The following is a 15052-nucleotide window of genomic DNA, read 5'->3' as shown; positions in this document are numbered from 1 at the left end:
GGTGCTAATTCTATCATGGGGACCCCACACTCATGACCTCATCTAAACCTAATTACCTCTCAAAGGCCCCACCTCCTAATATTATCACATTGAGGATTAAGGCTTCAACATATGAATTTGGGGGAGGGACACAAACATGCAGTCCATAAGAGTCCTCTTCCTCCAGCACTCTGCCCCATCCCTAGCATCTTCTGTTTATCCTGTCACAAACTTACTGAATTGTAATGTATTGGTTTTCTTGTTTACATCTTCCTTATGATGCTATCGCATAGCTCCTTTAAAGGCTGCAATTCACATGATACATATTAGGCACACAGGGCAAGTCTGGAGGATGTTGCCGGTGCCCTGACCACAGCAAGTCTGGGATCACTTAGAAATGTAGACATTCCAAGTCCTTGTAATCTTAGGGAGCTTACCACTTTAAAAGAAAGACTAGCTTCTCTCAAAAGGTCCATAGTTAACATTGTTGACCAAAATCAGTAATGGGCCCAGAAATTTGACTTTAATTAATTGATTGTATTCCTCTGGGAAACTAAAAAATTAAGGAAAATGTCAAGTTTGTCTCATATTCCTCAAAAGAGGAGAAAGACGTGTAAACCAGAAGAAAACTTAGTATTCAAGAATTCTTTGGCTTTATTTTTCAAATAACATCCACGTCTAGATAAGACATATTTACCAACCTGTCATCCAGAGAGTTGTCATCTCTGATACGGGAGAACATAAGGCGCTCATTACTCTTAAATGTTAAACATGCATCACCATCATTCCTACTGATTCAAGGGCTAATTCTGAGAGTGTTGGAAGAAGGGCAAATTGATATACCCAGACAATTGATTAAAAAGTGCATTTAGTACATAACAACAGACCCCCAAAACACATGAAGCAAAAACCAACACAAATGAAGGAAGAAACAGACAATCTAATGATAATAATTGGGGAATTCAATATCCCATTTTCCATAATGTCTAGAATAACTAGATAAATGATCAACAAGGAAATATAAGACAAGAACAACACCATAAACTAACTAGACCTAACATATATATATATATATATAATGTGTATATATACATTATGTATGTGTACATATACACATATACACACAAATGTGTACATATACACATATACACACAAATGTGTACATATACACATATACACATTAATGTGTACATATACACATATACACATTTATGTGTACATGTACACATTAATGTGTACACATACACATACACACTTATGTGTACATGTACACATATACACAAATGTGTACATATACACATATACACATTAATGTGTACATATACACATATACACATATACACATAATGTGTATATATACACATACACACATAATGTGTATGTGTACACATACACACATAATGTGTATGTGTACACATACACACATAATGTGTATGTGTACACATACACACATTATGTGTATGTGTACACATACACACATATATGTGTGTATATATATTATATGTATAGTGTGTGGATATGTATATATACACACATATAAAACACTGCCCAACAACAGCAGAGTACATGTGTACACATTCTTCTCAAGTGTACATGGAACATTGTGCAGGACAGAGCATATGTTAGGCCATGAAATAAGTCTCAAATTTAAAAGGATTGAAATCATACAAAGTATGTTCTATGACCATAATGGAATGAAATTAGAAATCAATAACAGAAGGAAGTTTGGGAAATTCACAACTTGTGGAACTTAAACAACATGCTTCTAAATAACCAATGAGTCAAAGGAGAAATCACAAGGTACATTTAAAAATATTAATACTTTGAGGCGAATGAAAACAAAAATACAGCATACCCAAATTTATAAGATGCAATGAAAGCAGTACTTAGAGGAAAGTTTACAGTTATAAATGACTATATTAAAAAAGATCTCAAATCCCATAACCAACCAATCAAATCAATATTAGCACCTATTCCATATTTGGGAAACATGCCCTTTATCATCTTATAGTAAACTTATGATTAAATTGATGCATGAATGGAAATATCATTCCTTTCAAATGGTAAGGAATAATAAATGTAATAAATCTATTTGTATAAACACTATAACAATGTAACAGAGACTGGGAAATAAAAAATGATTGCCCAGTAGATCGCCATTTTAGCAAAATACTGACTTTGGTATTTCCCCTTCTAGTCTTTTCCTCTGGGTTTACTTCTGGGATGCAATACAACCAAGTTGCTAACAATATGTTGATCTGGGGTTGTGAAGACTTGGTCTCATTTCCTTCTACGTTTGCAACTTTGCGCTCTATGCCTCTATTTTCTTGTTTGATAAAAGCAGAAAATGGCACCTCTCTCAATCAGTAGTTGTGAAGGGTTAGGGAGATGTATTTTTAAAAGTATCTCCAGGCACAGTACCTGGGATGGGTAATTACTCAGTAAATAGGAACTGGTTCTTATATATTTTTCTTATATAGCATCATTTGTAGCACTTGTATAGTTTTGTATCTTGCTTTTTCCACTTTACATTTTATCACAAGATTAGTTTTCATGTTGCTTTGCAGCCTTCAGAATTAGGATGATTTATTTCTCATAGTCTTTGACTTATCATGATTTCATAACCTTTTCCTTTTGCCAGAAGACAGAGGACTGATTTATTGTTTCACATAGAACTAGACTTAAACACACTTCTCCAAATGTCTTCTCTGTGGTTTGTGGAAATTTTTTGTCCTCATTTTTGAAATGTTCCCTGCTTTGACCCAATTACAGAGCTCTATTCACTTTCTCTGAAGGAAATGGTTTTATGCTGATATTTTTCATTCTCTAGTGAAGCCACATTTCTTTTGATTTGTGATGCTCTTTTTAAATTCTTCCTGATCTTCACTTGGTTAGGATAAAGACAGGTTCTGCAGTGATTCTGAACTGTATCAAGGTCTTGTTCATTTGTTTTCCTGGCTGGCAAAACTCTCGTTTTAGACCCTGGTTACAGTCTGTGTGGGTGTAGAGGACTTGAGAGTGAACACAAGAAGACTTTGAGTTGATTGTGGCAGTTGCTTTAAGAGCCTCTCAACAGTAAACACACAGAAGCTACCTGTGTAGTTTCTATTAAAACAGAGATTTGGAGGGTCTAGTGTGTGAATTATCAGGAAGAAATTGGAATTGGTGCGAGAGCTTTTAGGGAGTAGACTTGAGACCAGAGAAGCACATTTGCTTCAGCCAGCTTGGTGGAAAGCAGAGGTGACTCCGAACCCAATTCTGTTGATCTTCCTATACTGGCACACACATCTCCATGGGCCAAAAGACAGTTACACCTGGCACCTGTTCTACTCTCAATGTAATGGAACTCATTACTCTATCTCATTTGTTCTCAATGGGGGGAGGGTGTGGATTTTTCCTCCCAGGGGACATCTGGCAATGTCTGCACACAGTTTGAATTGTCACAACTAGGGGTGGGCTGCTACTGTCCTCTAGTGAGGAGAGGCCAGGGATGCTATTAAACATCCCACAATGCCAAGGATGGCCTCCTACAACAAAGAATGATCCAGCCCCAAATGTCAATACTGCTGAGAGTGAGTAACCCTGATTTACCTGCTTGAAAGGTTGATGTTAGGTCCAGCTTGCTGCGGACTTTGCTTTCCAAGCAATCAATGCATTGCACGTCACAGAAATTAAGACAGTAATAAAAAGAGTAAAGTAATTAATTGCCAATATTTATAATCTCTTAACAGTAATTAAGACTTAGGAATGAAGCACTCTTAAATATGATTCTTGTCAATTGCCAGATTAAACATATTTATGGTATATGGTCTATGTGGAATTGCCTCAAACCCAACTATTTTTATAGGTTATTTTTTCATCTCAAATGTATCAGAAAGCAGATTATCTCAGCAGCTCATCAAGTCTTCTAAAGTATTAACATTAAGCATTAGTAGTCACCAGCATCAATATCAATGTCATCATTTTTATTGTCATCATGAACATTCCCATTTATTATATGCTTGTGATATGCCTGGTACCATATTTTGCACCTCACATGCATTATTTCATTCATTCCTTGTGCTGACTGCATGGGGTATTACTACAATGCTCATTTTGTTTATGGGAGAGTGAAGGCTAAGAGAGCTTATGCAACTTGACCGAGGTCACCCAGATTGTAAGTCACAGAGGTGAGGTGCAAACCATCATCTGTCACACTAAACAGCCAGTCCTTTTAATCACTATCACCCACTGCATTCTTAAAAAATGTTCTTTTAGCTATAGTCTTTGCAAATAATATTTCACCATGTTGGGTCAGTGCAAAGCAAGCAAAGGCTAAAGAGACTGCAGAAACTGTCACTGTCACAAAGACGAACACTGAAACATAACCCTGGCATGTTGGTTGATGTGTTCCTTTGTTTGCTCATTTGTTTATTCATTCACATATTCATTCTTTTAGCTAGTCAGCATTTACTAAACACAAAAGATGCACCAGGTGCTGAGTATATCAGGCATTAGGGATTCAAATATGCCAGAGCATCTACCCTGGTTCACGGTTTAATGGGCAAAACATTGCATGGAAGCACAAATAATTTGCTCTTTTTAAGGATTTTGACAAAAAGGAAGAGTTAATGCCCATAAACATCAGAGAAAGTATGAGAGAGAGAGAGAGAGAGAGAGAGAGAGAGAGAGAGAGAGAGAGAGAGAGAGAGAGAAAGGAGGGGAAGGGAGAGGAGGGGAAAGGAGAGGAGAGGAGACAGAAAAACTCCGATTATGGCAGTGCTGGGGATGACATGGACTTTGCCCAGTGCTGACAAAACTGCAGCAGAGCAATACCAGACCGCTGCAGAGCCCACCTGCCTTTGCTCCGGAGATGAGCAAGGGCTTGTCAGGAGTCTGTGTCATTCATGGTGCAGCAGTCTCCGACCCGTGAAGCCTTTTCGCTCATTCCCTCTCACGCTGTGTGCAGCCCACGCAGAAAACTGGGGAAGTGAATTCCAGGCTGTCTAATCAGGGTTGGCTGCATCGTGACAATGCTGCTCATTTTAACTCCCTGCACATGCTGTGGCATTTGAGAAGGAGAAGGAATCACGAGGAGCAAATCAAGACTTGCAAATTTAACTTGTACTCCCTTACCACTGCTCCCTGCCTGTGAACTGATCATTCCACACCCTCTAGTCTAGGACTTTATGCAGATGGCAAGGGGGTGGCTGGTTTAATCCGAGGCAGGGTCAGTCAATTGGCTTCTCACTGAGGGAAATTTCTATTAAGCAGTCGACAGATTGGAGTCTCTTTTGTCCAGGCAGGTGGCACAAAGGTTGCTCAGAACAATTCATCTGGACTGCTGGATAAACAGCCGAAAGCAAGCGTGTCCTATTGCCAGAAAGTCATTGGATGCCTTCTATAGGAAGGACAGTGGCACTTCCTTCCACCCTAGAAGATAGTGGCACTTCCTTCCACCTGTCACCGATGTAATAGAATCCTTAACAAGTAATACATATTTTACTGCCTAGCTCTTACCTGATCCCCCAATTTTGGATACAGATGATAAGAATCATGGCTGCATTTTAGTTTCAGAGGCAGCAATTAATTCCTGAAAACTACCCCAACAGGTTTATTAAATTCTGAGTGTTCAATCATCCATCTATTCAGACTGTTTTCATTGCCTGATCATTTTGTACATGGGCTAGTTGGAATTTACCTTGGCCAAATTAACCTTCTTCTTCATAATGCAAGTTGACAGCATGAATTGGATTTGAGTGGGAAGGATTAAAGTGCTTGGATAAATTCACTCATTTATGAAATGAACATCTATTCACTGACTGTTTCAGGCACTACTATGTTAGAAATAGGTGATACAAGACAACATCCCTCAAGGGACTCACAGTCTAGTTGGGTAAGGATGTGAGAGGGGATATTAGCACATAGTGGTTGCAGCAGGAATGAAGAAGAAATGAGAAGGCACGGCCTTTGAATACAGGTGACAAAGAAAGAGTCTAGACAGGATGTTGGAAAACAGTTATCCCACTGAAAGAAATGTGGAAGAGAAGTGATTCAAGTATAGGTTTATACCCTGGCTTTGCTATTCCCTTGTCTTGTGATTTTATATAATTGCTCTGCCTCAGTTTCTTCATCTGAAAAATGAGAAAAATACCTAACTCCCAGAGGCAATTCTGCTGTCCACCCTGAGGAATATTTAGCAATGTTTGAAGACATTTTTGATTGTCACACCTCAGGGTGGGTACTCTTGGCATTCAGGGGCTTGAGACCAGGGATGGTACTAAACACCCTACAACACACAGGACAGTTCCCACAACAGGCACCGATAGTTCCAGGGCTGAGAAGCACTGAATCACATAGTGTGTATATCTAAAGTTCTGCATACCATGGGAGCTATTACAAACTACAAAATGTTACCATTAGAATGAACTTAATTTAAGATCCCCTATCTATTAGCAGTGAGTCCCAGGAGCAATGGAATCAAGGTCAATACCAGTCTAAAATCCCAGTGTCCTATTTTCCAGTTTTGTGTTCCTACTTTATAGGAAAGACAAACAGTTTTCATTTTGAGTGTTGTGTCTGTTTCATTGGTACTGACTGCTGAGAAGGGTTGGGAATCTGAGTTCTGCGAGAAGAAGTGGGGCGATCATAGCAGAGTGGGCTGTGGCTGTGTCAGGTGGCATGGACAGGCTTTCTGCGCACATTTGCCCACCTTACAGCAGCCACTGGACACTTGATGTGCTGGAAAGAGTGGGACACACCCGTCCTCCACTTGCAGCTCTGGCACGTAGTAATTCAGTGACCTTGGGCAACTTCCTGACCACTCTGAGCCACATCTATAAATAGGAATAATAATGTAAGTCTTGAGAAGGCACCATAAAGACAGTGAATTGACTCAGATGGTGCTCCTGGTACACAGCAGCTTCCAGGAAGTCTTCATTCCCTTCGCTGTCCTCACAGTCTGCCCATACCTTCTGCCCTCTGCCCCTTGCTTCCAAGGCTAGGAGTTGATTGGTTGGTTGGTTTTTAAGTGAAATACTGTCTGAAGATTAGCTCTGCACATTTCCCCAGCGAATATGAAGAAAGCTCACTGAAAATTAAAATCCATTAATTATCTTATCTGTGACTAATATGAGCTCATTGAAGCACTTGCAAACATCTGGGAGGATCTCTTTCTCAATCACCTGAATCCTTTGAGCTTGAGCCAGTTCATGAGATGATTTCTAACCTGCAACTGTCCTCTTTCTCCTGGAGGAGGCATTGCAGTTCCAGTTTTCAAAACCTGCAGCAGCTCATGTTTCCAAGGCCTTTGTCTCAAGACAGCAAAATTACAAACATTTCACTTTAGCATTTTCATTTTGTTTTGGAGACTTCAAGGAATTTCCCTCCTCTCACCCTAATTTTTAACTAGCAAATGCATCTCGTTTGTAATTTGATTTTTCTCTGAAGAGAATCAGCTTAAGAAATACTTGGAGAGTTGAGCTGCCATTGCCCTACTCTCAAAGAAAAGTCAAACAATGGACTTTATACAGCATTTTCCTGAGCATTTTGAATGGGCTTTATGGCCAAAAATAGACATTTCACCTTTCTAGTAATCTTTTGTGCATAGGCTATGTACTATTGGAGTCTGGTCCAGAAAATAAAATGAGAGCTATGTCGATCTCAATGTCCAGAAGTGCCCTGGGTGTCTTCTCTATGACACCCTGTCCTGGGTTATGCCCCATTCACATTTAATTTCCAGCTATGATTACCTTGCAGAGGTGTTTTCTCCCTCTATCTGACATTATTTAATTTGATAATCAAATTATGTCTATGTTGCAATAATAGGTAGGCAGTCACTAGTAAATACAGGTGCCAGAGAACATGGCAGCCTGGAGACTTTGTGAAATGGCTGCTTAAGGGGCATCATACAGGCCAGGCAATGAGGAAACAGGTTTATTTGGAAGTTTTATAACATACGCAAAATCACATCTTTTAACTAGGGGATAATAGTAGCAATAATATTAACAAACCCTTGCTCTTGATTTTAAGAATTCCGAAATCCTTCCATGTCCATTCTCTCTTTCGAACTTCATAACAGTTCTGTGAGATAGGTAGGGCAGGCACTGACTTTGCAGTTCAATCTCACATGACTTCCAACTTCACAAAGGGTGGAAGATTGTGGGTTGTATTGTCTTCTCCCTCCAGAGAAGGTTCATTTTAAGACTAATTATTAATTAAGCCTATTGAAGTCCATCTGTAGAAAATGGGTGTAATCCCTTTCAATCAGAAAAGTAGGATCACCATGTAGTCTGCAACAGGTGCCCAGGAAGGGGATTAGTAACAATCCATTCCATGGGCCAGAATTGAACAGATAATGGCTCTGCTTATACCCAGAAGGACTTTTGTCACTGACATGGAAAGATATTCAAGATTAATCTACCCACCTCTATCTATAGATATATTTCAAAGGAAATGTATTATCTCAATTTCTACCTCTGTTTACTATTTTCTTGTTTAATTTTAAAAAGTCGTACTGTAATCTTTATACACATACAAACATACCACATACACATACACACACACATGCACATACATGCACACACATGGTAGAGGACAGATTTGATCCAGGATTTGGAAATTGGGTTGAAATGTCTTAATTTCAGAAAGATCAGGTGGCAAACAAATGGGTCTGGGGAAAACTTCACTTCAAGATGCCCCCAAACCATTGCCCTAAAGGTCAACTCTTCTGGAAAGCTCTTGGTTTTCACTGACAGCTAAGAAATGGTGTCCCAGACACCCTGCGAGGTCACATACAAAGTTTACTGCTTATTATCCGTCAGGAGAGAGAGAGCCTGGGAGTCATTCCGAGCCAAATCCAATCCAATTATGGGCCAATTATAGACCTGCTTTCGCTGCCAGGAGCAGGCCACCCCAGCAACCCAGCTGGTGTCAGAGCCCCTGGCTGGCAGGGATTCCCAGCACATAGGAAGAGGAGCTCATGCCCCAGATAAGACAAAACAGCTGATAATGCTCTAGACCAGCACAGATGGCAAATGCAACTGCATTAGAATGGTTCTTGATCCTCATCACCACCCCCAATGCCATCCCTTCATAACTGAGTCCAGATTCAGTTTTCTCTCCTGTGTGGCACCCTTTTTTTACTATGTGATCAAATTCTGAAATACCAAGAGGTGGTAGGCCAGACTTTGCTCCTGTACTCAGGGCCAACCTTCCATTACTGGTTGAGTTCCTGCAGCCTATGCTATGGTGCGAACTGGGGTCACAGTGCCTGGATACCCACAGCACCACTGACAACCTCACTGAACATGTAGGAGTTAAAATGCCAAGAAACTTGAGTTAGAAACTTGACCTAGGTAAAAATAAAGCTATCTCTATTAAAAATCAAAACAATTTTGGCTGGCACTTCCAACCTACAGAGATCATTTCAGGTCCACATTCTAGCATCAAATAGTGTCATTATTCCTCCAGGCTGGCTTTGCATGGATGACCTGCCAATTTGAGAAGCCAGCTTTTTCTCATCTTTAACTGAGACCTTGAGGACAGTGGGGACAGGGCAGCACCAAGGACAGCATCCTGTGGGTGACTGCAAAGGAAACCCTTTTCAGATTGGCCTAGAGCTGTGGTTCTCAAACTTTCACATGAATCAGAATCATCTAGACAGCTTGCTGAAACTGAGATTGCCAGGCCAAAGCCCTAGGGTTTTCAATTCAGTAGGTCTGGGATGGGTTCCAGAGTTTGCATTTCTGACAAGTTCTTAGGGAATGCTGCTGCTGCTGGTGGTAGTTTGGGATCACACTTTGAGAACCACTGACCTAGAGCCATCAATCAGATTGTTTAGGTCTGGACATTCAGAAGTCCCCCAACTATCCCATCACCGGCTCCACAGTTTTCAGGCTAGTCTCCAAAAGTACAGTGAGAAGCTTGGTCAGATTTCTTTGCTGAAATTTATATATACTAAGCATCAATGAAGCAATAATCACAAATGCTTGTAATAGTGCTTCCAATGGTCAGGCACTATTGCAAGCCCTTTACCTTGTGAGATGTCAGTGAGTTAATACACGTAAGAGCTCCATTTTACAGGTGAGAAAACTGAGGCACAGAGAAGTTACATGACTTTCCGCAAGGTCACACAACTAGATAGTGGGGCAGCCAGGAGTCAAATCCAGGCTGTCTGATTTTTAATCATTACCCCAGTCTGACTCTCAATGTGGCAGACAGGTCCATGGCGGTGAAATGAGCTGGGTAAATTATGAGGGACAATCCTAATGTAAAGGATGAGGAATTCTACATCAACTTACCCCCCAGTCACTTAACCTTACTGATACAATGTTCATTTCTGTAGCTGTTTAGTAAGTGCTGACACTGTTACAGTTCAAGGGTTGGAAAACCAGAACCAACAGGCCAAATCCAGCCCATCATCTGTTTTTTTTCTTAACTTTTTGAGATCGTTCTAGATTTACATGCAGTTGTAAGAAGTAATACAGAGAGATGCCTGGATGAAATGACTGGGAATAATGAAGTCATTTTTCTAATCTCTAATGAAAGTATTTCTAAATAAGGCCTTGCCAAGCTTCAAATATATGCTGAGACAAAAAAGCTGGGTTTGATAATTTTCATTCAAGTATACTTCTGTGGCTGTCCAGGTAGTGGAAGTAAAACACAAAAGGTTTTCCAAATTTGAACACTTTTCAAGTCCAAGAAACGACAGGACCAAAGGATCACAGCTACTTGGCAGACTGATAAGCAGCTTTATCTTATTTTTTTTAGAGACAGGGCCTCACTCTGTTGCCCAGACTGGAGTTCAGTGGTATGATCGTGGCTCATGGCAGCCTTGACCTCCTGGGCTCAAGCGATCCTCCCACCTCAGCCTCCCAAGTAGCTGGGACCACAGGTGCACACACCACCATACCTGGCTATTTTTTTTTTAAGCAGAGATGGGGTTTCACCATGTTGCCCAGGCTAGTCTCAAACTCCTGAGTTCAAAAGATCCTCCTGCTTCAGCCTCCCAAAGTGCTGGAATGACAGGTGTGAGCCACTGCACCCAGCCTGATAGGCAGCTTTATAGCTTTTCTCAAATATCATGACAGAAGAACTGAAGCTGGTTTCTGAACAACTCAGTTGTCCAGCCTTGGGCTTTGGGTGAGAACCATCGTTTGTATTCTAATTTTCTTAGTTACAGAGTCAGGCAGCAGCAAAACGCTGGATACAGTTAGATCTATGGTCCTCAGCAGATTATGTGCACATTAGAATCACCTGGACTTGCTGAGTGCCACTTGCTATCAGTTAATTCTTAGAGGGTGGCAGGATAGGCCTGGGAATGGGTATGTTTCACAGAATCTTCAGGTGATCCTGATGTGTGTCTTGGTCTGAGAAGGACTGATAAGGTGTTTCTCAGAGCGTCCTTTGATGAACTAGACTGAAATCTTTCTTGCTTGGGAAAGTATTTCTTTGGTTGAATGTTGCTGAGATGAAAGTATTCAACGGTGGAAAACAGCCAAGCATTCTTGGAAAGTCATGCAGCATACATGTGCATTTATTTATAGGGTGAACCAGTGGTGAGCCATGGCTTCTATTTGGGATAGGACATGGGAAAGAGATACTAAGTTCAGGACTGCCATATGAGTCCAAACAATAGCCATATTAGGCCCAGAAGGGGCTGAGAATACTCTAGCTCCCACTAATAAATGTGCTGTCTTGTCAGGGTTGTGACTCGTGTCTACCCAGCAATATATAGAGTCATATTCTTACAGGTTAGGGGACTATCAATGTCACTTAGTCCAACCAAGACCCAGCCTAATGCAGCAATCTCTCTATACTCACTGCTTTCCAGATATGTACCCTACCCTGGAGAATCACCTGGGTTTAACTATGAACTCAGCAATTTTTAACCCCTATCTAATTCATCTCCCTCTAAAAACTGCCAGGGCCATTATTCCCTTCAGATAATCCCACTTGCACCCTTTGGGAATGACTCATTATAGGGAGAACCCAAATAAGTGCCCATTCCATTGGCGTTTCTTTTAACAAATTCAGTCTCTGCATGTATAAACATAAGTGGGTTATGTTTGTGGTATGACATGCTAAGGACTAATCACTGGGTGCTGAGCAGTTGCACTGTAAACTTTGGTTCAAGGTCAGCCAGCTGTGTTGCCCACTCCCACAAAGCTGAATCCATAAGTTCTCAGGATGCCACCTCTCTAGAGTCTGGCTACTTATCTTTCTTCCCCATTTCATAAATGCCCAAGCAATATGGTCCTACCCTGTAGCCAGGATCCAGTTTTTGACATGTCACACTAAACACGAACTTTTCATGGTTTCCATCAATTCGCCTATTCCTTGATACATAAAATACAAGAGCTGAACTTGGGCTAAGGCAGCTGTATTAGTTATCTTTGGCTGTGTAACAAATTATTCAAAATTTAAAAGAACAATAAATATTGTCTCACAGTTTCCGTGGATCAGGAATTTAGCATGGCTTAGCTGGGTGGTTCTAGCCTAGGGTCCCTCATGAGGTTGTAGTGAGTTGTTGACTAAGATTGAAGGATCTACTTCCAGGATGGCTCACTCACATCACTGGCTAATTGGTGATGACTGCTATCAGGAGGAGGCCTTGGTGCCTTCCCATGTGGACCCACCCATTGGGCTGCTTGAATGCCCTCACAACATGGCAGTCAACTCTCCCTGGAGTGAGTGATTCAAGAAAAAACAGGGCAGAAGCAGCAAAGTCTTTTATGGCCTAGCCTTGGAATTCATACTTTGTCATTTTTGTAACATGCTACTGATTACACAAGCCAGCCCTATTCTATGTCGAAGGGGACTATACAAGGATATGAATACCAGGAGGCAAGAATCATTGGGAGACATCTTGAAGGCTGCCTACCATAGCCACCTACCCCCTTCATTTTTTAGATGATAAAACCGAGGTCCAAAGAAGTGAGATTCTCAAAGTCACATAGCTGTGACATTTCAGTATTTGCTTTTCTTTCACCCCTCCTGATCCTTACCACCCAGGATTTCTTACATTTATTTAAAACACCAAAAGTTGTTTATCTTTGGGGAGATTAGGAAGATTATTTCCAAATGTGAAGCCAGTTTCTCTGATGCTTCTAACAGAGAAAGCCCTGACAGCACATAAGCACAGTGCATAGTGTGAGCACTGAGGAAAGTCTTTTCTTCATGTCCTTGAGTCATTAGTGGGGAGGGGTTCCAAAAGGAGGGAGAGGAAGGCAGAACCTCTACAGGGAGGCAAATCCAGAAGTGAACTAAAAATCCATTGTTTGAGTGATACATCTTAGCTTTTGCACACTGTTCCCTCTCCTCAGCTTGCTCCCACATTCAATGGTTTTCCTGCTCTTTTGCTTTCTTTCTTTCTTTCTTTCTTTCTTTTCTTCTTCTTCTTCTTTTTTTTTTTGATGGAATCTCACTCTATTGACCAGGCTGGAAAGCAGTGGAACAACCTCTGCTCACTGCAACCGCCCCCTCCCGGGTTCAAGCGAGTCTCATGCCTCAGCCTCCGGAGGAGCTGGGATTACAGGCGTGCGTCACCACATCCGGCTAATTTTTTATTTTTAGTAGAGATGGGGTTTCACCATGTTGGCCATGCTGGTCTCGAACTCCTGGCCTCAGGTGATCTGCCTGCCTTGGATCCCAAAGTGCTGGGATTACAGGCGTGAGCCACTGCGCCCGGCCTCTCTTTTGATTTCTGAGGATCAAACCCAGAACAACAAGAAAAAAGCACAGGATATTACGAACAATCCAACTAACGGGAGGGAAAACTCTCCTCAGGAGTTGGAGTTCCATTAATCTCAGATGAAAGTGAATGAATCCCAAGTAACTTCCTAGGAGAAGCACATAATTTTTTTCTGTGAAAACTTATGTTTCTAAAAACACACACACACTCAGGCCAACATACACACACGTTTTAAAGTGCACAACTCAAAACTGTGCTAAATATTATCAAGTTCCTTTTCAGGATCCTCTTTGAAATAGTCATCTATGAAATGAAACAAAAAGAAAGCAACCTCTTGTATATTCGCTATCCTTTTTCAATCCGTTCAAAAACGACAAGGCTTGTCATGTCTGCTCAGCTTAACTAGTCAGGAGATGACAACTTTCTCCCCGCCTGACCTATTTTGTCTAATGGGGCCCACTCCTCTGCCCTCTGACAAGCTACCTTCTCTCCTCAGTTCCATTTATAGCAGGGCTTTATTTATGGTTAAATCATTAGGAATGGAACTGTCTCCCTCACAAGGCTTATTTCCCCTGTTCAATAAATTAAGCCAGGGGATCCGAGAGACTGCCCATTTCTGCTTTATTTAAGCTCAAATTCCTCACAGCCCAGAAAATACTGCAAATTGCCAGAAGAGAGCTCAGTATGAGTTCCCACTGCTTGCCCAACAGTATGTGGTCACTTGCAGGTTGTCTTGGATTTACTGCTCAAAGTAATGTTTGTGTAACCTGTGGGAATTTTCCTCAGCCCTCGATGGAAGTTTGAGATCTGGAACTGAAATGCTTCAGTGAGGAGCCCCTGGGCCTTTGCTAATGGACAAGGGACTCCCTTCTCAATCCTCAGGCATGAGCCATTGGACAAGTGCTATGATCTTCTCATATGTTTGACCCCTCTTTTCACCTTGAAATAAGGTTTGCAAACTTCATTCATCCACTATGTATTCTTGTTGCTGTCACACAGGTGACCTCGCTGAACAATTGGAGCATTAATGGCCCACAGCTGTCAAAGTGACCTGTGCACTTCACTACTCAAAGCCTTTTCTCACTTGTTTTCAGTTGCCAGAGCCCTGCAATCAGCGGATCTTTCAAAAAATACAAAACCAAACCCCACAAAATGGATCGGGTCACTGCCCTGCTGCATATCCTTCAGCGGCTCCCCATGACCCTTCGGGCCTGTGTTAACTGTCTCAGACTTGGCAGGCTTTTTTCATCTTGCATTTCTGCCTGTGCAGGACATTCCTCGCTCCAATCCTAGTGAACCTCTGCCAGCTGATGGAGGCGCCATGCTGATTCTAGGCCTTTACACATGCTCAGAATATTATTTTTTGATCTTTGTTCCCTCCCGTATTCATTATCTGGCTAA

At 41.4% G+C, this 15052-nt stretch overlaps 1 protein-coding gene across 4 annotated transcripts in view; it reads left to right on the top strand.

Annotated features, from left to right (window-relative positions):
- Positions 1–15052, top strand: part of SMPX (small muscle protein X-linked) — a 52139-nt gene that overhangs the window by 25229 nt on the left and 11858 nt on the right. The window contains exon 6 of one of the 4 annotated variants that reach the window (XM_047441939.1): positions 4607–4611. The exons of 2 other annotated variants lie outside the window; for them this stretch is intronic. The gene's annotated coding sequence lies outside the window, so the exon portion shown is untranslated. Of the gene's footprint in view, positions 1–4606; positions 4612–5260; positions 5602–15052 lie in introns of those variants that run through there. One more of the 4 variants, XM_047441940.1, reaches the window with a different exon arrangement.

The sequence above is a fragment of the Homo sapiens genome, chromosome X, assembly GCF_000001405.40.
Source record: "Homo sapiens chromosome X, GRCh38.p14 Primary Assembly".
In the NCBI taxonomy this organism is placed as follows: domain Eukaryota; kingdom Metazoa; phylum Chordata; class Mammalia; order Primates; family Hominidae; genus Homo; species Homo sapiens.
This window is presented reverse-complemented; position numbering and strand designations above follow the sequence as displayed.